At 35.1% G+C, this 25338-nt stretch overlaps 1 long non-coding RNA gene across 2 annotated transcripts in view; it reads left to right on the top strand.

Annotated features, from left to right (window-relative positions):
* Positions 1–25338, top strand: part of LOC105374699 (uncharacterized) — a 56997-nt gene that overhangs the window by 985 nt on the left and 30674 nt on the right. The window contains exons 2-3 of one of the 2 annotated variants that reach the window (XR_925879.3): positions 44–164; positions 704–818. This is a non-coding gene — a long non-coding RNA (uncharacterized LOC105374699). The remainder of the gene's footprint in view (positions 1–43; positions 165–703; positions 819–25338) is intronic. The other variant, XR_925880.3, reaches the window with a different exon arrangement.

Here is a 25338-nt window from a genome sequence, read left to right as displayed (position 1 = left end):
TATCAATCAAAATCCTAATTCCAAAAATTTACTTTGTTGACAGTCCTGAACAAAATTTTAAAAAATATATCTGAAAATACAAAGAACCAAGAATAGTGAAGATACCATTAGAGAAGAATAACAGAGCTAATGAACTTTTCTTAATCATGAGATTTGTCATCAAGGTACAGTAATTCAGACAGAATTATATTAATATAATATGGCATATGGAAACATAGCAACACAGAAAAGAGAGATCAGAAATAGACTCATTTTATGGACACTTGATATTTAATTGAGATTTTATCACAAATCAGTGAGCAAAGGATAGATTTTTAAAATAAATGATGCTGAATGATTGAATCTACTATAATGCAACTTTTCCAGTTGACATCAATGTGCTTCATTTTCTCTGTCCAGAAAGTGAGCATAACAATAGCATGCCTATATCAGAGGTTTCTTTTAGGGATTAATTGAGTTAATATATTAAAATAATGCAGTAATTTTATGTATTCCAAGGGCTTCCTAAATGGGCAAATGTACAGACTTTTATTTCAATATTTGTTTACAGAAGAATAAAATAGTATGTCTCTAAATCTTTTTCTACTTTTTCTGTAATGTTTACTTTCATGAGAAAATAAATGTGATGCCATTTATTTATAATGATATGCCAAATGCAGGTTGTTATTTCTCACAATTATAATTTAGTGTCATAATTTAACAGGGTATAAAGTTGGAAAACATTATAGAAAAACTACTTTTTGTTTTTGATTGTGAAAATCTCTACTGACATAGAAGGCATGGCAACATGATCAATCAGTTGCACAATTGGGCTCTAGGTAAGTAATATATATATTAAAATTTTGAGATGAATAGCTGACACCTAGTAAACATGATATGTATTAGTATGTCATAATTACCTTCATTATCCCTAATTATTTTCAATGTCACTTTCAAAAAGTGACACTGCAGCACAGACAGGGTAAGTAATATATCCAAATTTACAAAGTTTGTTAGTGGTAGTGCCTGTGTTGGAGTCCAGGCAATTTGGTTCTAAAGTTCACGCTGTTAATCACCATCTCTTAGAATTCATTATTTTAAGTATCCTTAGTCCTTACAAATGCAGGCTGTATTAAGTTAGATTTCTTTTAGAGCTCATGTTACATGGCATAGTCTATCATAATTGTTCATTATAATAGTACTCAATTAGTGACCAGTTTTAACATTTCCAACCACAAACATGTGCACAAACACATACCCAGAATAATTCCTGGAAAATAACGAGGTCTGGCCGGGCGTGGTGGCTCATGCCTGTAATCCCAGCATGTTGGGAGGCCCAGGTGGGCGGATCACCAGGTCAGGAGTTCCAGACCAGCCTGGCCAACATAGTGAAACCCTGTCTCTATTAAAAATTCAAAAATTAGCTGGGTGTGGTGGCATGCACCTGTAGTCTCAGCTACTCGGGAGGCTGAGGCAGGAGAATTGCTTGAACCCAGGAGGCGGAGGTTGCAGTACGCCAAGACCGCTCCATTGTACTCCAGCCTGGGTGACAGAGTGAGACTCTGTTTCAAAAAAAAAAGAAAGAAAATAACTTGGGGTCTAATACACTCTTAGATGTCTTACCTTCTGACAGCACCCCTTAGTAAGGTGACAGATATAGCTTAGGAGCTAGTGCTAAGACAGACTTAAGTTTACATGTGTAGTTATAAATCACCTATTTTCATGAATTTTTTATTCATCTTATAAGAATTCCTGAAAATGACATTGTAAAATTTGTTTATTCAACAATTTGTTACCTGCTGTTCTCAAGATATTCTGCCTTTCTTCTTAAAGTATGATCTGAACACCATCATTTAACAACATTACCTGAAAACTTCTAAAAAACACAGAATCTCAGACCTCATTTGAGATCTACCAAACCCAAATCCTTGTTTTTCAAAGACCCCGGGTGGTGTATGTGCACATTAAAATTTAATACTCAATGCTTAAGAATATCCAATGGACTCTACCTTTTAGTAGCTTACATTCTGTTCTACTGCACTGTATGGTAGCCACCAGTCATGTGTGGCATTTACACTTAAATGTAACTTATTTTAAATGAAACAGCAAGAAAATTCATTTCTTCTGTAATACTCCACTCCCCATAGTTTAAGTGTTAAATAATTACTCCTGTAAGAGTGAATATTGTCTTGGATATCTGTGATGTAAAATATTTCCATCATTGCTGAAAGTAATATTGAAAGTGCTGCTCTGCAGCAAAAATCAACAATTTTTATTTTTACTTTTTGTAAAGAGTCAAGAAATAAATATTTCAGGTTCTGCAGCCTATATGCAGTCTCTTTTCTCCTTCTCCTCCCTCTACTTCTTCTTTAACAAGCCATTTAAAAAATGGTAAGCAATACTTGGTTAGTGGGTAAACAAAAAATTAATTAATTAAAAAAAATAGAAAAACATGCTGTGGAGTGAATGTGGTGTATAGGCCATAGTATGTAGATGCCCATTCTAGGTAACAATTTTTTAGATAAAACAAGTGATTAAATAATACTTACAAGAAGAGATGTGCAAAGTACTCTGTTGGGTGCAAAAGGCCTAAAATAAAAACTAAAAACCTACACAACTTCTAGATTTTCTTGTCATTGAAGGCATTCCTTAATTTTAATCTGATTTTTTTCTAAGAAAAGACAGAGGTGGTACAAAAAATATCTTGAGTTTCACTCAGTGCTAAATCAGCCTTGCCATCAAACATAGCTGCACCAGGGAGGAATGGAAGATTATCATTCTAAATTGACAACAATTTCACACCAGTAACTGGAGGCACAGAGTAGCCATTTCAAGACACAATAATGATGATAACAAATTAACTGAAATAGTCCCCTTTATTACTGGCTCCTCTTTACAAAGACCTCAGAGCCCTGTAAAGTATTACAGAATTGTTTCTGTGAGAAGCTTGGGGTATTTCAGTTGCTCTTTTAACAAAAAATGCACCATTATAGTTCCCTTATTTACCACTTGCGTGCATGGAAATTGTGTTTCCTTCTGTAATCCTAACCCCAAAACCCACTCACAGTTAACTCTTTTTGAGATTACACTAAATTATAAAGTTCTCCAGGCAATGGGAACTTTATAAAGTTCTCCAGGCATGGTGAAACCTCGTTTCTACTAAAAATACATAAATTTAGCCAGGTGTGGTGGCGAATGCCTGTGGTCCCAGCTACTTGTGAGGCTGAGTTGGGAGAATTGCTTGAACTGGGGAGACGAAGGTGGCAATGAGGCGAGATCACGGTACTGAACTCCAGCCTGGGTGACAGAGTGAGACTCTGTTTCAAAAACAGGCAATAAATACAATAAAAATAAAATTTTCCATTTTATTCAGGTTAAACATCTCAAACTAGTTTATGGTGCTTAATCTGTCCCTGTATCTAAAACTGGCCATTACTTCTGCTTGTAAATAGCCTTTTATTGTAAGTAGGAAAAAAACTCTTCTATCTCAAACTCATTAAATTATTTGTCTGATTATGTAAATTGTAAATGTTTTAATAATGGAGTTACACGAAATACATAATGCCACTGACAACTAATTACATTGTAAATTGCATTATAGCATGTTTTCTATTTCAATTTTACTCCTCAGCCAGGAGGTATAAAATTTGTAGCTAAGTATTCAAAGTATAATTACTTTAATAAATGTGCCATTCTTTGCATATATATTCAAGCTCCTTTTCATTAAAAGAATTATAACTATGCTTCAACAAAAATAACTTGATTCTTCCCATATCTAAAGGTAATTACATTTTAAAACTATAACCTTCAAATGGAAAAGTGTTAACCTTGAAAGCATACTGACGATACTTACCAGACACATAGATGTAAGTTAACTAAACTCTATTTTCGTATTGTGCAAGGTTTGTTTCAAAATGTTTATTAATTGATTTCTTATTAAAAAAGACAAACTAAAGTATATGGGAACTAATATAAATATATAAATATCTGTAACTGTAGATATAGAAATAGTAGCTTTTTAGGCAAAGGCTATCCAAAAGAATTAGATTATATATGAAGACAACTACAGATACAAACTACAAACCACTCAGGGCAGAGAAGGCAAAAAGGCAAAAATATATTTTACACATTCATTGCTTGGTTGTTAAGACACTATGCCTTGGCAATACAGTAGATCTGTTCCCCATAAAATCACCTCATCAATTCACACTACACAAAGAAAGTTAGAAGAAAAAGTTTAAAGTTGATGACTCAAATAAAAACCCAGACTCTAGACAGACGAGATATTTTGTACAACACATCATTTGAATATTATATATTCATATCTCTATTTGAATACGTCCTATTATCTGCAGGTTACATAAGGAGCACAAGTCTAGGAAACAAATTCTAATGCTTTGCTAAAAAAAATCTTATGCTCTCCAAGTGGCCAAGTAATCAATCTAAACTTCAGTGTACACCTGTGGAAAAAAAATGAGTTTACACTGTTGGCTCAGACTTTTATCCTAAGCAACTCTTGGATTCATGTACTTTGTTTCCTCCAGATTTTGCTCAGTGCACTTTCCCTCTGCTAATTTTGATATGTATAATTTTGCTATGATAAACCATAACTTTGAGGGTAACAACTTTTGGGTGCTGTGAGTCCTTCTAGTCTGCTGGTCAGATTGGCCCTTGGCTGGTGTCTAGAAACTTGGTGGGTAAATGGTTCCTCATCAGCCTTGACATTCAAACCAAATTTTGGGTGCTGATCTATCCTGCTCTGTAGGCTGACCACAAGACAGAGGATGCGTACAGCAACAGCTTCTGTGCAAACCTTGAATACTGATTCTCTAATGATATTTCCTTAGAGACAACACTTAAAGCATTTTGTCACACTGTTTGCTGGAAAAATTAAGTGGGTCCTATGCTGCTCCACTGGGAAAGAATATGAACCTGATTTCATCCAGATTTTGCCCTATGCACTTTCCCTTTGCTGATTTTGATTTGTATAATTTTGCTATGATAAACCATATCCTTGAGTATAACAACTTTTGAGTGTTGTGAGCCCTTCTGATGAATTACTGAACCTCAGTGATATTAGGGACCATCACATAACATGTTAATAGTTTTGCAGAGGACTAAATTAGACTCAGAAGTATGCATAACTCTCCTCTTGATGTCACGTCTATCTCCTATTATTACTTACCTAGAGCCCAATTGTGCAACTGATTGATCATGTTGCCATGCCTTCTATGTCAGTAGAGATTTTCACAAGCAAAAACAAAAAGTAGTTTTTCTATAATGTTTTCCAACTTTATACCCTGTTAAATTATGACACTAAATTATAATTGTGAGAAATAACAACCTGCATTTGGCATATCATTATAAATAAATGGCATCACATTTATTTTCTAATGAAAGTAAACATTACAGAAAAAGTAGAAAAAGATTTAGAGACATACTATTTTATTCTTCTGTAAACAAATATTGAAATAAAAGTCTGTACATTTGCCCATTTAGGAAGCCCTTGGAATACATAAAATTACTGCATTTATTTACATAACTATAAATATTATTTAGAAATTGAATTCATTTTAAAACTGATTCTGACAAAACGATGGTGTCCTTTTTTTTTAATTTGAATCCTTGCTCTCATTATGAAAACAACTTATGTTTATGGTTACCTTGTAAAATGTAGAAAAATAAACCTGTAATAACAAAATGATAAGCATTTTTGTCTTCCCATTGTCCAGGGATAGCTTTGCTATGACTTTAGTGTATGCCCTTTGCCTGTGTATGCCTCACTCTATTTTTTCTTTCTCTGCATATATAGTCGAACTAATTAAAAATTTAAAGCACCATTCACTTAAAAAGTATGTTACAAATATTTTATGTTTTTGTTTCTAGAAATGATTTTTATGATCTAACATCATAACTTTACTATTAGCATTTCTTATTGGTGTAGCGGAAACATGAACAGGTTTTCAAAAGATGGGGGATAGCAGGAACAACTTTATACCAATTAATTGGACAATTTTTGTGAAAGTGGTAATTTTTGAGAAACACAATGTACCAAAACAAATAAAGGAAGCAATAGGTATTCTGAAAGTCTGATATCTATTACAAAATTAAAATCTATTATTTAAAAAAACTATAAAAATAAACTCATATGCTTAGACCCACATAGATTCATCATATTCTTCCAAATACTTAAGAAATTCATATCAAATTTATACATAACCATCCAGATAATGAAAAATGAAGGAAGAAATAACAATTATTTTTATGAGGCCACAGTAGCAATGATACTAACACAGGATAAATTTATTACAAGAAGAGAAAAATGCAGAAACATCATGTCCGGAACATAGATTTAATAATCATTGATGAAATATTAGCAAAAGAAATTAGGCAATAAGGAAAGGGATAAATTCATTGACCAAAGCAGGTTAATTCATAGATGAAATAGTAAGTTAGCATCTGCAAACATTCAATATAATTCATAACGTTAACAAAAATCGAAGGTCATATCATTTCAATAAAGAAAACTTAATAAATAATAATAAATGTACTCATAATATTCACTTTCAGTAAAGTAGAAATAGAGAATGACCTTTTTATTAAAATAAAGAGTAATACTGGCCAGGTGTGGTGGCTCAAGCCTGTAACCCCAGCACTTTGGGAGACTGAGGCAGGTAGATCGCTTGAACCCAGGAGTTCGAGTCCAACCTAAACAAGATAGTGAGACTCACTTTCTACAAAAATTGCAAGAATTATTCAGGTGTAGTGCTGTGCACCTGTAATCCCAGTTACGCAAGTTGCTTAGCTAGGAGGATTGCTGGACTCCAGGACGTTGAGGCTGCAGTGAGCCATCATTGTGCTACTGCACTCCAGCCAGATCAACAGAGTTAGACCCTGTCTCAAAAAAAAAAAAGAAAAGAAAAGAAAAAAGAAAAAGAAAAGAAAAAAGAGTAATACCTCAGTGGAGTGACATCACCAAAAATGGCAGAATGCAAGTAATCTGGCTTCACTCCCCGACAGAAAACCAAAACCAAATATCCAGCACCAGGATCATCACCAGCAGTATCACATGTACTTCAAAAATATGTACAACTATTACGTATTGATAAAAAATAAAACCAATAAAAACATAATAGTTCAGAAAACTACAACAAAGTACAAAGATGACAAATAATAGTGAAGTAGGAACAAGTTGACTCTGAGTTCTGCATGAGACAAGGATGCCTGATATCGTGTATACTACAAATCATTCTACAGAACTGGGGCACAGCCAGACAAGAAGGCCAAAAATTTCCACCAACACCAGTACAATACAGGGCAATACAATACAATACAAGACAAATAAAGACAATACAATGCAACACCATAAGAAAATTTTTAAAATAAAAGATATATTATTTGGAAAAAAAAAAGAGATGATTGCACTTAATGTACCAGCTCAAGTCCAGCTGTTTGGTGCTCAGAGTCAAAACATGAGAAGCTAGGTGTGGTAAAGGAAAGCAGCTTTTATCAACCAAATGCCAGCAGATGGGAGAATGGCTGGCCTCAAGCCTCAAAGGAACCATCTCAGCCTTCTGGGCTGAGTGAAGGGGTTTAGGAAGTAAAATTTGGTGTGGGGAATATACAGGGGTGGGGCAAGAGGGCGCAGCTCTGCGTGTCTTGTTCTGAATGTTATCTTGCATAATCACCTGTCTGGAGGTTGGGTTTGTGTCATGCTGACTTTGGCCCAGTAGTGGTAGACTAAGCAGGGGGATTTGGCAGCTTGATGTCTATCCCTGATTTGATTCAAATTGGCCCCTGGAACTTCTTTCTTTTGGGGGAGGGGGATTTTTTTAATTATTTGTAATTAATATATAATAATTATATATATTTACAAGGTAAAATGTAATTTTTTAAAAATTTCAACTTTTAGGTATATGGGGTATATATGCAGGTTTGTTACATGAGGATATTGGGTGATGAAATTTGGGATAAGGATCCCATCACTCAGGCAATGAGCATAGGACTCAATAGGTAGTTTTTCAACCCATCCCCCCCTTGCCCTCCCTGTTCCAGCAGTCTTCAATGTCTATTATTCCAACATTGATATTCATGTGTGCTCAATGTCTAGCTCCCACTTATAAGTTAGAACATGCCGTATTTGTTTGTCTGTTCCTGCATTAATTCACTTAAGATTATAACCTCCCACTGCATCCATGTTGCTGCAAGGGACGTGATTCTATTTTTTATGGCTGCATAGAATTAATGGTGTATATGCACCACATTTTCTTTATCCAGTCTACCATTGATGTACACCTGGTTTGATTCCATGTCTTTGCTATCATGAATAGCACAGCAATAAGCATACATCTGCATGTGTCCTTTTGGTAGAATCATTTATTTGCCTTTGGGTACATACCCAGTAATTAAATTGCTGGGTTGAATGGTAGCTCTGTTTTAAGGTTTTTGAGAAATCTCCAGACTGCTTTCCACAGTGGCTGTACTAATTTACATTCCTACCAACAGTGTATAAGTTTTCCCTTTCTTCCACACTCTCACCAGCATCTGTTTATTGACTTTTTAATAGTAGCTATTCTGACTGGTGTGCAGTGGTATCCCATTGTGATTTTGATTTGCATTTCTTGCATGATTCGTGATGCTGAGCATTTTGTCATCTGTTTGTTAGCTACTTGCATGTCTTCTTTTGAGAAGTTTCTGTTCATATTTTTTGCCCATTTTGTTAATGGAGTTATTTGGTGTTTTTTGTTTTGTTTTGTTTTGTTTTGTTTTGTTTTGTTTTTGCTTGTTGATTTAAGTTCCCAATAGATTCAGGTTATTAGGACTTTGTTGGATGTATTGTTTATGAATATCTTCTCCCATTATGTAGGCTGTTTGTTTGCTCTGTTGATAGTTTCTTTTGCTATGCAGAATCTCTTTAATTAACTAATTACTAATTTTATTAGTAATTAGTTTAATTAGGTCCCACTTGTCTACTTTTGTTTTCGTTACTTTTGTTTTTGTTACAATTGCTTTTGCAGACTTACTCCAAATTCATTGCAAGGCTGATATCAAGAAGAGTATTTTCAAAGTTGCTGCCTAAAATTGTCATAGTTTGAGGTTTTTCATTTAAATCTTTGATACATTTTGAGTTAATTTTTTGTATATAGTGAAAGGTAGGGATCCAACTTCAGTCTTTGATGTATGGCTTAACAGTTATCCAAGCACCATTCATTGAATAAAGAATCCTTTCTCCATTGCATGTTTTTGTCTGCCTTGTACAAGATCAGATGGTTGTAGGTGTGTAACTTTAAGTTTTCTATTCTGTTTTGTTGATATACATGTCTGTTTTTGTACCAGTACCATGCTGTTTTGGTTACTGTAGCTTTATAGTATAGTTTAAAATTGCCCCTAGAATTTCTAAGCAAGCATGTAATTAGATAAGGGAGTGCTGTGCATAGAAAGTGCTGGTGGGAAAGGGAGATAAATAAAAAGTTTTGGGCCAGGCGCAGTGGCTCATGCCTGTAATACCAGCACTTTGGGAGGCCGAGGCAGGCAGATCATCTGAGGTCAGGAGTTCAAGATCAGCCTGGACAACATGGTGAAACCACGTCTACATTAAAGATACAAAAAATTAGAAGGACGTGGTGGTGTGAGCCTGTAATCCAAGCTCTTCAGGAGGCTAAGGCAGGAGAATTGTCTGAGCTCAGGAGGTGGAGGTTGCAGTGCGCTGAGATCATGCCATTGCACTCCAGCCTGGGTGACATAGCAAGACTTAGTCTGAAAAAAAAAATAGTTTTCAAAGTACAAGGCTATATTCTGAGATTCGGATGGAAAGAAAAAAAATTCAAAATTAATTTCAAGGCTAAGATACTCAGTTACATTACTTTCAAATATCACTATATAAGCACCAGAATGGCTAATGTAAGAAAAATGCACAAAACAAAATGTTTAGGAAGTCTCAAACTGCTTACAATATCGTAATTACTGTTGGTAATGAAATTTGAAAAAATAACCATATGAATATTCTATAACTCAGTAATTTTATTTCCAGGTAAATAGCTAACAGAAATGTGTTTACACTTTTACAAGAAGAAATGTACATTATACATTAAAATCAGAAACTGTCTATCAGCTAAATGCTCATCAACTTCAGAATAGCATTTTGTTATGTAATAGAATATTATTTAGTAATTAGAATAAGTACATAGAATGATATAGAATAGTCTTATGAGGATAATATTTATGAAAGACCAAGATCCAAGAATATGTTCTATATGAATGTATATCAAGACAGAAAAAACTCATCTTTGGTTTTGAAAATCAAGATAGGGCTTACATTTTTGTAGGTGGAGTTAGTGACAGAAAAGAGACAAAAAGAGTACTGGTAATTTTCTGATTTTTGAGTGATTAAGTTTTAAATAGATGCTTCTCAGTTTACATTTTAAATAAAATTATCAGTACAGTATTATCTAAAACCTGTATATAAATTTTGATGTGTATTAATAATAAAATTTCATGGTCTATATAACTTTTTTATTATAACTTTCATTTTAGGTTCAAAGTTACATGTGCAGGTTTGTATATAGGTAAACTGTGTGTCACTGGGGTTTGGTGTACAGATTATTTTGTCACCCAGGTAATAAGCGTAATGCCTAATAGGTATTTTTTTCTGATCCTGTTCCTCCTCCTACCTCCACCCAAAAGCGGGCCCCAGTGTCAGTTGTTTCCCTCTTTGTGTCCATGTGTTCATGTTGTTTAGCTACCACTTATAAGTGAGAACAGGCAGGATTTGTTTCTCTGTGTCTCTGTTAGTTTGCTAAGAATAATAGACTCCAGCTCCATTCACGTTGCTGCAAAGGACATGATCTCATTCTTCTTTATGGCTGTGTGTGATTCTATGATGTATGTGTACCACATTTTCTTTATCTAGTCTACCATTGATGGGCATTGAGGTTGATTCCATGTCATTGCTATTGTCAAGAGTGCTGCAATGAACATGCAGGTGTGTGTGTCTTTATGGTAGGGCAATTTATATTCTTTTGAGTGTATAACCAGTAGTGGGATTGTTGGCTCAAATGGTAATTCTGTTTCAGGTTCTTAGAGGAATTGCCACACTGCTTTCCACAGTGGCTGAACTCATTTACAGTTCCACCAGGAGTGTACAAGTGTTCCCTTTTCTCTGCAACCTTGCTAGCTTTTGTTAATTTTTGACTTTTTAATCATAGCCATTCTGACTGGTGTGAGACGGTATCTCGTTGTGGTTTTGATTTGCATTTCTCTAATGATTAGTGATGTTGAACATTTTTTTTTCCTATGCTTGCTTGGCCTATATAGCTCTTATTTTGATAAGAGAGATTTCATCAGTTAAGTACTGTATTTTGAAATGTCCCTTTGTTATGCCAGAAATTTTTACTCCCAGGTTACTGTTCTATGGTAAGACTTCAAATATGTGAGAGATATATGAGAGGACAATTGCAAAAGGGTAGGCAAGAAAGGATTAGCAGATGAATTCCTGAAAAAAATAAGTTTTAAAGAAGCATGTAAAAAAAGGATGAGATTCTGAAATTTCATTATGTTTAGACATTTATAGTCTCATGAACTTTGGAAAGTTTCATGCTTCCTGACATAATTATACTATACTGTTTGTCTTTCAACTGCATCACGGTATGTATATTCAACTATAAGAACATTTTACAGTAGGCACAGATGTAAAGAAGTGTTCCATGAAAGAGGCTCATTCAAAGTGATAAGGACTGAGGGGTGAGTTAGAAAGGATAATCCATGTGAATTTTGTAGAGAAATGGAGATTCATGTGTGATAGAAGTGAATTCTCTGGGACCACCTATACGCTATTTAACCTTTCTGCCATAATAAATGGAGAGAAAAATGAGATGGAAAGAGAAACACATAATTAGCCAATTATCTAGAAAATAAACTAAATAGATGCTCATGGGTTTTATTTGAAAGAAAATTATAATTTCATTTGACCACATAAGGGCATTTTATATAAAGGTGGAAGAAAATAATTACAAAGGCAAACACACTTATTTTAAAATTGCATCTATCACAAATTATTTGCATTTTTAATGCAGGGATGATTTTTAAATTTCAGATAATTATTTTAATTATTGTTTTTATAATGCATTTTAAAATATTATTGATATTCAGACAGCAATCATGAACTATAATACATAACAAAGTATTTGCTATTCTATACATGGTTCTACAAAAGCAGATCTATTAACTTTTGATTTTATTCATGTAAAGTGACATATTGTTAAGATTCCTTAGAAATAGGCTGGGCATCGTGGCTCACACCTGTAATCCCAGCAGTTTGGGAAGCCGAGGAGGGTAAATAACCTGAGGTCAGAAGTTCCAGACCAGCCTGACCAACATGGAGAAACCCCGTCTCCACTAATAATACAAAAATTAGCCAGAGATGGTGGTGCATGCCTGTAATCCCAGCTACTCGGGAGGCTGAGGCACAACAATTGCTTGAACCCAGGAGGTGGAGATGGTGATGAGCTGAGATCATGCCATTGCACTCAAACCTGGGCAACTAGAGTGAAACTCCATCTCAAAAAAAAAAAAAAAAGAAAGAAAGAAAAATAAAAGATATTTTTCTTCAAGGATAATAAAATACTTTATTTGCCATGGTGATTCATTTTTTTCCATGTTTCTATTGAAGTAGACAGTTTGATCCCTTTGAATAACATTTTAATTGAAAACCATGAACCTGAAAGTTCAAGTCTATTTACTCACACCAGGAAAGCCTTTTTTTTTTTTTAACATCATTGTTATCTCATAACATCACTTTGATGATTTTGAATGTATCGTAGATGTTTAATGCTTATTAATATATTGTTATGGATTGAAGTTGTTGTCCATTCAACATTTATATAATGAAATGCTAACCTCCAATGTAATGGAAATGGGGACTTTGGGAGTTATTTAGGTCATTAGGGTGGAGGCCTCATGAAAGGAGTTAGTGCTCTTATAAGAAGATACATAAGAGAATTTGTTTTCTCCCTCTCTCTGTCCACCATATAAGTATATAAGAAAAAAAAAATCCATTACAAACGAGAAGAAGTGCCTTCATCAGATATTGGATCTGGTGACACCTTGATCTTGGACTTAACCTCCAGTTATGAGAAATAAATGTTTATTGTTTAAGCCACCACATCTATTGTATTTTACTATAGCAACCTGGACTGAATGAGGCATCTATCTTGACTTCAACTATAAATTTAACATACACAAGGATTTAAGTAGCACTGAAAACAATAATGCAAGTCCTTTAGCACAATATTTCATAGCATGGAGGCTGTGTTATAAAGGTTGCTAAAAATGTATCAACCTTATGGTTCCAGATTTAAATTACTAAGATTCCCCACACAGAAAGAATGGGTATGGGCAGATGCTTTTTACTCACATTGGTTCTGTTGCTTTTTGGTGTGTTTCCTCTCTGGTCTCAAAATAGTTTTGTCTCCTTCCTGGTAAACTAATATTACTTACAGAAACTACGACTTTCCCCTTGCCTAAACATTGGTGTTGCTATGATATGCATTCCCTATAAGCTGACAGAAATAAAATTTAAAAGAAAGGAAAGAATGCAGACGCTTACCCTTAGCCTTGGATATCAACTTACAGAGACAAAATCATATTTCGCTACAAAGAACAGAAAATAAACTGAAGTCTATTATTTAAGTGTGAGTAGTTTTCCCCGATAAATAAAAATTTGTCTTCTATCCAGATAGTAAAATGTACTTCATTTGGAAGTCTCACTGTCCTGCAGAACTCTTCCTGTTTGTTTTCTTTTCCTTTCTTTCTTTTGTTTTTTGAGACAGAGTCTCACTCTGGTGCCCAGGCTGGAGTACAGTGGCGCCATTTTGGCTCACTGCAAGCTCCGCCTCCCGGGTTCATGCCATTCTCCTGCCTCAGCCTCTGGAGTAGCTGGGACTACAGGCACCCGCCACCACGCCTGGCTAAATTTTTTTGTATTTTTAGTAGAGACGGGTTTCACGTGTTAGCCAGGATGGTCTCCATCTCCTGACCTCGTGATACGCCCACCTCGGCCTCCCAAAGTGCTGGGATTACAGGCATGAGCCACTATGCCCGGCCTCCTTTCTTTTTTTTTTGTAATATTGAGAGGTGACAGCATGCTGGCAGTCCTCACAGCCCTCGCTCACTCTCGGCACCTCCTCTGCCTGGGCTCCCACTTTGGCAGCACTTGAGGAGCCCTTCAGCCCACCGCTGCACTGTGGGAGCCCCTTTCTGGGCTGGCAAAGGCCAGAGCCCACTCCCTCAGCTTGCAGGGAGCTGTGAAGGGAGAGGCGTCAGCGGGAACCGGGGCCGCTTGTGGCAATTGCGGGCCAGCTGGAGTTCCGGGTGGGTGTGGGTTTGGCAAGCCTGGCACTCGGAGCAGCCGGCCAGCCCTGCCGGCCCCAGGCAATGAGGGGCTTAGCACCCGGGCCAGCGGCTGCGGAGGGTGTACTGGGTCCCCCAGCAGTGCCAGCCCACCGGCGCTGCGCTCGATTTCTTGCTGGGCCTTAGCTGCCTTCCCACGGGGCAGGGCTCGGGACCTGCAGCCCACTATGCTTGAGCCTCCCACCCGCTCCGTGGGCTCCTGTGCCGCCAGAGCCTCCCCGATGAGAGCCGCCCTCTGCTCCACAGTGCCTACTCTGATCGACCACCCAAGGGCTGAGGAGTGCGGTGCACGGCGCGGGACTGGCAGGCAGCTCCACCTGCAGCCCCAATGCGGAATCCACTGGGTGAAGCCAGCTGGGCTCCTGAGTCTGGTGGAGAGGTGGAGAACCTTTATGTCTAGCTCAGGGATTGTAAATACACCAATCAGCACTCTGTATCTAGCTCAAGGTTTGTAAACACACCAATCAGCACCCTGTGTCTAGCTCAGGGTTTGTGAGTGCACCTATCAACACTGTATCTAGCTGCTCTGGTGGGGCCTTAGAGAACCTTATGTCAAGCTCAGGGATTGTAAATACACCAATGGGCACTCTGTATCTAGCTCAAGGTTTGTAAACACACCAATCAGCACCCTGTGTTTAGCTCAAGGTTTGTGAGTGCACCAATCGACACTCTGTATCTAGCTGCTCTGGTGGGGCCTTAGAGAACCTTTATGTCAAGCTCAGGGATTGTGAATACACCAATCAGCACTCTGTATCTAGCTCAAGGTTTGTAAACACGCCAATCAGCACCCTGTGTCTAGCTCAGGGTTTGTGAGTGCGCCAATCCACCCTCTGTATCTAGCTGCTCTGGTGGAGCCTTGGAGAACCTGTGTGTCCATACTCTGTATCTAACTAATCTGATGGGGACATGGAGAACCTTTGTATCTAGCTCAGGGATTGTAAACGCACCAATCAAGCACCCTGTCAAAACAGGCCACTCCGCTCTAACAATCAGCAGGATGTGGGTGGGGCTAGATTAGAGAATAAAAGCAGGCTGCCGGAGCCAGCAGTGGCAACCCGCTCGGGTCCCCTTCCACACTGTGGAAGCCTTGTTCTTTTGCTCTTTGCAATAAATCTTGCTACTGCTCACTCTTTGGGTCCACAGTGCTTTTATGAGCTGTAACACTCACCGTGAACATCTGCAGCTTCACTCCTGAAGCCAGCAAGACCATGAGCCCACTGGGAGGAATGAACAACTCCAGATGCGCTGCCTTAAGAGCTGTAACACTCAACGCGAAGGTCTGCAGCTTCACTTCTGAGCCAGGGAGACCACGAACCCACCAGAAGGAAGAAACTCCGAACACATTTGAACATCCGAAGGAACAAACTACAGACGCGCCACCTTAAGAGCTGTAACAGTCACCGCCAGGGTCCGCGGCTACATTCTTGAAGTCAGTGAGACCAAGAACCCACCAAGTCTGGACACAATATGAGAAAAGAGTTATGATTAAAGTTTTCCAGTGATTTACTAAACCATGTCCTCCACTTTTGGAAATTCTTCTTCCTTTACTAATGTTATTATTTGCTAAGCAGCAGATGTCAGATGCTATAGCTGAATTTGCTTAGCTGCCCAAATCAACCCTTTAAAAATTAACTTTATATTGAGCATAAACCGACAAAATTGGCTTAAGTGAAGCTTTGCTAAATGTCTAAAATTGGCTTGTAAAATAATTGACCACTGTAGCTGCAAGTTCAAAAGCAGGTTAGTATGCATTTGGCATCTTTCCATACCAATTATTACAGACTTAAAAGTTTATTTTCCATAGGACCATTCCCATTCTTCTGCCTCTGTCACTTTTTGACTTATTTCTAGTTATCACTATCCTTTTTCTTGATAATATAAATGAAGGGTTAATTTTAAAGATCTAGTTACCAAAAAAAAATTATTACCTAAAAATGAATATTTAAATGTGGAAATTAAAATGATAGTGAAAAGCAACAGTGGTAAAAGCTGTGGCCATTGACAAAGTTCGTATGCACTTACTTTCTAATTATTTTTTCTTGTTTTTATTTTTCTTTAAATTTTTTTTTACATGCTTGGGGGTAAATTGTAGTTTTGGTGTGTAGATATATTGCATAGCCAGCAATGGAACTTATTTTTTAAAATACTACCAACCATATTTCTGTAAGTAAATAACATATGGAATGGAACAGCCATAATTATCAATTGAGATCAAGTATGCATTACTTTTTATTTATATAAAGATGGAATTGTTAAGTTTTAATATTTTAGAATCTAATTTTACATATACAGTATCATTAGTTTACATAAGTACATCCTTAATCATAAACTGAAATACGTCTATTATATTTATTACAAGGATTAACATGACCTGCCAGTTTCTTCTGTTGTAAATGAACTGTAGAGAAAAAGTACCCAAAATTTGAAAATAAACAAAACAAAATATGTACAGTATAATTTCAATGCCATATGAGCTATTGTTTAACAAGCCTACATTACAATTATTTAATTATCTCAGGGAATGTGTCTGTGTTACCATTATTTCATTTGAGCCCAGACTATGTGACGTACATGTTAGTATGAAGATTTCTGTCCCATAGAGAAGAAAATAATGGGGTTCAAAATTTTATTGCCCCATAAGACATTTACTTGTTTTGTAGTTAACTGGGACACATTATTTTAAAATCCTTTAATATTTTTGTCAAAATGACTTTCAATGCCCAGTTTTTCTAAATGCTCTTTAAGTTAGTTTTATCTTTTTACTGTTTTCCTCATTAGTGAATTAATACATTTTTGACACATTTTCATGTCATATTTCTTTGAGTCATGCTGTTAACTTTTTAAAAATTATATTTTGACAGTATAAAATGTAGTCCATTTCCCCAGATATTTTCTATGTTTTATTACTGAGTTAAATTTTATATATTCAGTGGCCATAATTGAAGCTGTTAAATCAAAAAGCCCATTGCAACTTTAAAAATGTCTAACTTTCTGTGATTGACCAAAAAATAAAAAAAGAACTGTTTTAGCTAAGCTTTGATTCCCATATGATTTCACAGCTGACAAAAATAGTGCAAATTAATGTTGAATTTTCTGAAACTCCTCTTTGATCTCAAAACAGGATAGCTGTAGACTTAACACGCTCAATAATCATTTTAAGAGCCAGATCTGTTCACTCATTCGTGTGTCTTTGTTTCCTTTTGTAAGTGTATAAACCCTTAACTCATTTTATCCCATCCTTCTGGCTTGGTGATTTATGCTCTCTAATTGGAATTACTTTCTTCCAATCTCCTCTGTCCTATGTTAGTTTGCCCACAGAAATCTGTTGTCAAGTGTGTGTGTCCTCTTTCTATTCTTAAAATTCAACTTAGTTTATAAGAAGGATTTAAGCATGAGCTTCTCTTATCAGTCAGGAGCCAAAATATTCCTCATCACATTTCTTATTGAAATTACACACACACATTTAACTCAAAGCCAGTGATAAATGAAAATTTAAGATTTAAATATTTCATCTCATTTACAAAGTACAGTAAGCAGAGTATATTTCCTGAAACTTATTCCATTGAAAAAGTATAAACAAATCAGAGAATAGATATGCAAATTGTACTTGGGTTGAGGAATCAGTGTCAGGAAATGATGTCATTTGCACTGTGAAGCATTCACTGTCTTTAAAGTCAAAAGACACATTTGCAACAATATGGATGTTCCTGAAGTCTGATATGCTAAGTGAAATAAGCCAGGTGCAGAAAGACAAATACTGCATGATTTCACTCCTATGTGGAACTTAAGAAAGTTGATCTCACTGAATTAGAGAGCAGCATGGTTACCAGAGGCTGGGGTGGTTCCACAGGGAGGGGCAATTGTAGAGATACTGATCAAAGCATTCATATTAGAGTTAGATAGAAGGAATAAGTTCAAGAGCTCTGTTGTACAACATGGTGACTCTAGTTAATGATGGTATATTGTATTCTTGAAAACTGCTAAGAGGGTAGATGTTCAAATTTCTCATCACAAAAATGGTAACTATGTGTAAGGTAATACATTTGTTACTTAGCTAGATTTGAGCATTTCACAATGTATATGTACTGAAGAACATCATGTACACAATGAATACATACAATTGTAGTGTTAATTACAAAAATAAATTTAAAAAAGAAGTCACAGAAGTCACAGCTGATATAATAGCAAAATTTATCCTTCTTACTCTATTGAGCATATTACATTTCTACTACAGGAAGGCTGTTTATAAAATTTCACAGCAAATCGTGTTAAAATTTTCAGAGTATTCTGCTTAATGGGTTGATGTATTTCCTCATACATGTACTGGCAGCTCAGAGATTTCTTTGTCAATCAGAAGTGGGGGCATTGTTACCAACGAAAAGCATGGCTGCATCACAACAAATCTGTCTGTCTGCCAGATGCACCATCATTGTAAACCAGAGGACCTTATTTCTCCCTTAAAAAATAACAAAATAACATTCTTAATCAACCAGAATGTCTCTTTCCCTCATGCACATCACCTTACTGAAAGGTTCCCTTTGTTCGCTTAAAATCTAATCCAACCTCCATAAAAACTTCTCTATGTTTTATCTTGCAAAGTAGAATATACTTCCTCAGAGACATTGTGTGGTTGATGGTTTAGAACATTATTTTTAATGTCCTTATTTACTTACCATCCTTTTCCCATGCACAAATTGAGGATATCAGCAAAGATTAGCTCTTTCTACTGTACTCTCTCCCATTCTATGCTTTCTCATGTTTTATTCTGGAAATTAGGATAGAATTTATTGTTATTACATAAATCATTACTAAATTCTTTGTATTGAAGAATAGAACCATTATGAGTGATACAAATGGATTTATTATGGTGATAGGATCTTACACAATTTTGAGACTGGCTTAAGCAAGCTATGTAATTTGTTATCCTGTAACCAAATGTTCTGGTCTTGATGTCAGCTAGTCTGGCTGGCAGGGAGCAAAGACAAACATGAAAAGGGGGTATATGGTTTGGGCACGGAAGCTCAGCCCTGTAATCCCAGCACATTGACAGGCCAAGGTGGGAGGATCATTTGAGGCCTATATTTCAAAAAAGGAGTATCCAGGCAAAGTGGACCCCTCAAGGGTGAAATGGAATTCATTAAATGAACAGGAATCAATGTTTTTTAATGACCCCTTCTATTCGCCAACTTCACTGATGCCAGCAACCTGCAGAAGAACTGGCACACTTTGCCACAGACATACATATGAACCATGCCTAGGAATTGAGGAAAATAAACAAAGGAATGTGGTGGAAGCTGAAAGGATTAAAGCCCAAATGCTGCACAGGGAGATCAGCAGGGTTTAGAGGAGCTGAGTGTTCTGAAGCCACTAGTTGCCAACAGGGTGAACCAGCGAAAGTGTGACAATGAGCTAGAGCTGCAGCAGCACCTGATGTTGTATCAACTTTCTGTGATTCATTCTGATTACTAAATCCTGTGCAAATGACTCTTGAAGCCTAACTTAGAAGAGTGCCATCATTGCTCACTGCCTTTTATATCTAAATGTTCCCATTTGCGATTATTTTTATTCATCTCTCATTTGGCCAGGGTACAGTTTGAAAATATTTTTCAGAAAATTAATATGAGTAGTAAACTTTCTACATATTGGAGCATAGTTTCTCTTTGAAAATCTGAACGATTGTACAACATTTTGGGTTTTATTAATGGTGACCTTGTCATTGTTGCTGCTATTTGCTGTGTTATATTGCTATTGTTATTGTTTACAGGAACGGTCTAAATACACAGATTCATTCCTACTATGCCTTTATCATCTTTCTTTTTTTCCTAAAGATGATTATCAGAGCTTCTAGTGATTTTTGAAATTCATAGTTTTAGTGGTATAGTTAGATATTATTGTATTTCATTATTTTTTGCTGTAGTAAAATAAGCTATTTTTATTTATGGATTCATGTCTAGGTCACATCAAAATATTTTTGTTTTCTTTAGTAAATCTCTGAAGCATTTGTCTATCCTAGTGACTAAGTATTTTAAAAAAACTTTTAAAGAGTCAATTATTTGTGGGATGAAGCGTTATCCATTTTCAGTCCCATGCAGCTGCTCACCTTTCTACAGTTATTTTTTCTTTCCTTTTTAAAAATTTTTATTCTTGTCATCTATGAAGTAGGAAGAACATCCTGCTTTCAAAGGTTCTTTCACCGTATATTAATTAGATTTTCTAATTGAGTTTGTACTTTTCTACTTTTGAGGATAGTTTAAATTTATCACTGTGATTATTTGCATAATTCCTTTTATTTAAAAATCTGATGACAATTTATTTCAATATTCATATAAATACTTTCCAACCTATCTTCCACTTTTCTTGATCCTTTCTTGATCTTTCTCTCCCAACCTCACCAAGCCCAGACTTATTTTATGCATCTTTGTGAGGTGGGGAAGAGAAATAAGAGCAGCTAAAATCTACTCGTGGCAAATTTTCAGTACACAGTACAATATAATACAGTATTATTAACTGTAGTCATCATGCTATGCTTTAGATCTTTAGATTTATTCATTGTAAATAACTGAAAATTTGTATCCACTGATGCATTTCTCCTAATTTCCTGCCCCTCCCCACCCCTGGTTACCAATATTCCACTCTTCATTTCTATGTATTCAACCTTTGTATCGATTCTACATATAAGTGAAACCGTACAGAATTTTTCATTCTGTTTCTGGCTTATTTCACTGAGCATAATAATGGCCTCTAAATTCATCCTGTTTTTTTTTTTTAAATAAAAGACAGTATCTTCTTTTTAAGGCTGAATAGTATTCCATAATGTATACATACTATAGTTGTTAAACCATTTATTCATTGATGGGTACTTAGATTGTTTCTATACCTTGGCTATTGTGAATAATGCTGCAATGAACACAGATATGCAGACGTCTCTACAAGGTGCTGATTTTATTCTCTTTGTGTATTTGTCCAATAGTGAGATTTGTGGATGATGTGATAGTTCTATTTTTAATCTTTTAGGAACCTCTATACTCTTTTCCATAATGGCTGTACCAATTTATCTTCCTACCGACAGCGTACAAGAGTTTTCCTTCTCCACACTCTTAAACAGCACTTGTTATCTCTTGTCTGTTGTATTATATTCATCCTAACAGGTATAGGGTGATATCTCACTGTGGTTTTGATTTGTATTTCCTTGATGATTAACAATATTTAGTACTTTTTCATATACCTGTTGACCCTTTTTATGTCTTCTTTGGAAAAATGTCTGTTCAAGATTTTTGTCCACTTGTAGTTAGGTTTTTTTTTCTTAATTACTATTAAATTGTTTGAGTTCGTTATATATTTGCATATTAACCCCTCATCAGACATATGGTTTTCAAATAGTTTCCCCCAATCCATACACTGCCCTTCCTTCTATTCATTGTTTTCTTTGTTGTGGAGAACCTTTTTAGTTTAATGTTGTTCCACTTAATTATATTTGCTTTTGTTATTTGAGCTTTTGGTGACATATCAAAAAAATTATTACCAAAGCCAATGGCAATGATCTTTTCTTCTGTTTTTCCTTTGAGAGTTTTACAGTTTTAAATCTTTAAATGAAGGTATTTAATCAACTTTAAGTTAATGTTTGTATATGGTATAAGAAACGAGTCCAGTTTCATTCTTTTGCATGTTGCTATCCAGTTCTTCTAAAACCATTTATTGACAAGACAGTCCTTTCCTCATTGTGTCTTTTGGTGGCCTTGTTGAACATTAGTTGACCACACATGCTTGGATTTATTTCTGGGATCTCTATTCTGTTCCACTGGTCTATGCATCTATTTAATTAAAGTACCATAATGTTTTAATTATAACTGCATAATATAATTTGAAATCAGGAAGTGTGATGAGTTTGTTTTTTTCTCAAGATTGCTTTCCCTATTTGGGTTCTATTGAACTTCCATATAAAATTTAAATTTTTTTTCTATTTATGTGAAAAGGCCATTGGAATTTTAATAAAAATTTCATTGACTATGTAAAGTGCTTTGGGTAGAATGAACATTTTAACAATATTAAACCTTCCAATCCATGAACACAAAATATCTTTCTATTTTTTGTGTCTTCCTTAATTTTTTTCATCAACATTTTATAGTTTTCAGTGTACAAGTATTTTACTTCCTTTTATTCCTCAATATTTGTTATGTTTGAAGAATATATTGTTATTGGTGTATAGAAATGCAACTGATTTTTGTATGTTGATTTTATATCTTGCTACTTTACTGAACTTATGAACATATAAGCAAAATTTTACAATATATTAGCAAATATAATGCAAAAATATATAAAATACATAATACACCACGTCCAATTGTAGTTTATTCTGAGGATGTAAGTCTGGTTCAATAATTGAAAATCAATCAGTTTATTTTGTCATATGCTAAATCTAAAGAAGAAAAAAAGATTATATCGATTGATGCAGAAAAGGAATTTATCATATTACAAATAATAATAGCTTTTCATGAGAAAAAATCTGACTAAACAATAATTAAAATGGAATATACTTGACTAGAAAGGGAATTCATGCAAAACCAATTGCTAACATAATGCTTAACAATGAATAACTGTAAATGTTCACCATAAGATCACAAACAAGGCAAAGATGGCGTCTCTTATTACTCCTATTCAGTATTGTACTGAAATATTAGCCAAACAAAAAGGGGGAGAGAGCAGAGTGTGGGGCGGGAGAAGATACTCATTGGAAAGAAATAAAAACTCATATTACTTGTTTTTATTAAGCGTAGCACAGAAGTTTGATAATTTCAACAAAGAAAATAGAAGTTAAAGGCAATTAGTGGCCAATCTGACTTATGTACACAGAATCAAAGGTATATCACTTCCAATTTCAGTTTTTATAAAAATGCAAGTTTGGCTTAAAATACAAAAGTAAATTACTAAAATTTGTCATTTTTCAAATTAAAGGAACACATCATATACTTATTATACTAGATGTAGAAAAATAACTTTTAATAAAAATGAATTCCCTTTACAGAAAAGTTAGCAAATTTAAGATTAGAAGTTAACTTTCTTAAGCTAGCAAAGATATGTACAAAAACACTATGTTACTACTTGGAAAGTTTTCTTGCAGATGTTGAAAACCAAAAAAGATATTCTAGAAACTGACTTTTATTGAACATTGCACTAGATGTCTTAGCCAGCTTATTAATGTGTGAAATAAAACTATGTTAATGGGAAAGTAGAATAAAAAATATTTTACTTTCAAATGATATGTGTATAGCAATAATATTCAAAAGAATTTTCTATATCAAATTATTATAATTTATAGGATAATTCAGCAATTTGTTGGATACAAATTAAAAATGAAAAATCAAGCACAAATTAACAAAACTCAGTAATTCAATTTTTGGGTATATATCCAAAAGGATTGACGGCAGTATCTCAAAGAGATATGTGTACACTCATGGACACAGCAGCATTATTCACAACAGTCAAAAGGTAGAAGCATAAACAAAATGTGGTATAGACATACAATGGAATATTATTCAGCTTTTAAAAAGAAGGAAATTGGCTGGGTGCAGTGGTGCACACCTGTAATCTGAGCACTTTGGGAGGCCAAGGCAGGCAGACCACCTGAGGTCAGGAGTTCAAGACCAGTCTGGTCAACATGGCGAAATCCCATCTCTACTAAAAAATAAAAAAATTAGCCCAGTGGGTGGTGGTGGGTGCCTGTAGTCCCAGCTACTCAGGAGGCTGAGGCAGGAGAATTGCTTGAATCTGGGAGGCAGAGGTTGCAGTGAGCCAAGGTGGCACCACTGCACTCCAGCCTGGGCGACAGAGCAAGACTCCATCTCAAAACAAACAAACAAATAAATAAATAAAATAAAAAGAAGAAAACTGCATACTATGCTAGGGTTAGGATTAGGGTTTACATAGATAAACTTGGTGGACATTATGTTAAGTAAAATAATCCAGTTGTGAAAATACAAATATTTAATAATTTCATTTATATGAAATAACTAAAGCAGTCAAATTTATAGAGACAGACAGTAGACTAGTGGTTGCTAGGTGCTAAGGGAATAGGTTATGAAGTAGAGTTGTTGTTTAATGGGTGTAGAGTTTCAGTATTGCAAGATGAAAATATAATAATTCTGATGATTGGTTTCACAATGTATAGATGTACTTAACACAACTGAACTATACACTTAAAAAAGTTAAGATTTTAAATTATATATTACATATATTTTAGCAACATTATTAAAAATCAAGTGCATTTCTATAAACCAGCAGTAAACATGTGGACACTGCATATTTTTAACAAGATAACATTTTTTTTCAGAGTCATTGTTCTGCAGATCTCCCATGTCCACCTTTCAGAAAGGTATTGGAAAGAGCATCCCTGAAGCTAAGCCATTCATATCATCTGCATAGGGCCCTCATATAGGGTCACTCCATTTATATATTTTTTTCAAAAATATCAAGTCTATGAATAAATCTAACAAAATCTATGAAAGGCCATATATGTGTGTAGGTAAATTATAAATTTTATCACACATCAAAAACAAAATAAATGATAAATGTAGATGTAAATATACATTTTCATATTCGTGGGTTGAAATACTACATAAATTACTTTTCTCCAAGTTGATATACAGATTTAGCACAATTCAGTCAATACCATTTTTTCTGTGACATGTGCTTACATGAACTGACAATTTTTAAAATTTATATAAAATTGCTATATAAAAATTCTTTTTCAAATTTATATAGAACTAAAGGAAAATAATAAACCCATAAAAGATCTGCACATACAGTGGTGTTATTATATGTGAGAATTTGCAGATTAACCTGAAATAAGATTGACTTTTATAAATGAGAAGTATAAGAAGAGCACCATTTTAATATTGTGACAATTTAATATTATACTAAGTTGATATTCCCACCTGGTATTTCAAAGTGCAATAA

Source organism: Homo sapiens, chromosome 5 (assembly GCF_000001405.40).
Source record: "Homo sapiens chromosome 5, GRCh38.p14 Primary Assembly".
Classification (NCBI taxonomy): domain Eukaryota; kingdom Metazoa; phylum Chordata; class Mammalia; order Primates; family Hominidae; genus Homo; species Homo sapiens.
This window is presented reverse-complemented; position numbering and strand designations above follow the sequence as displayed.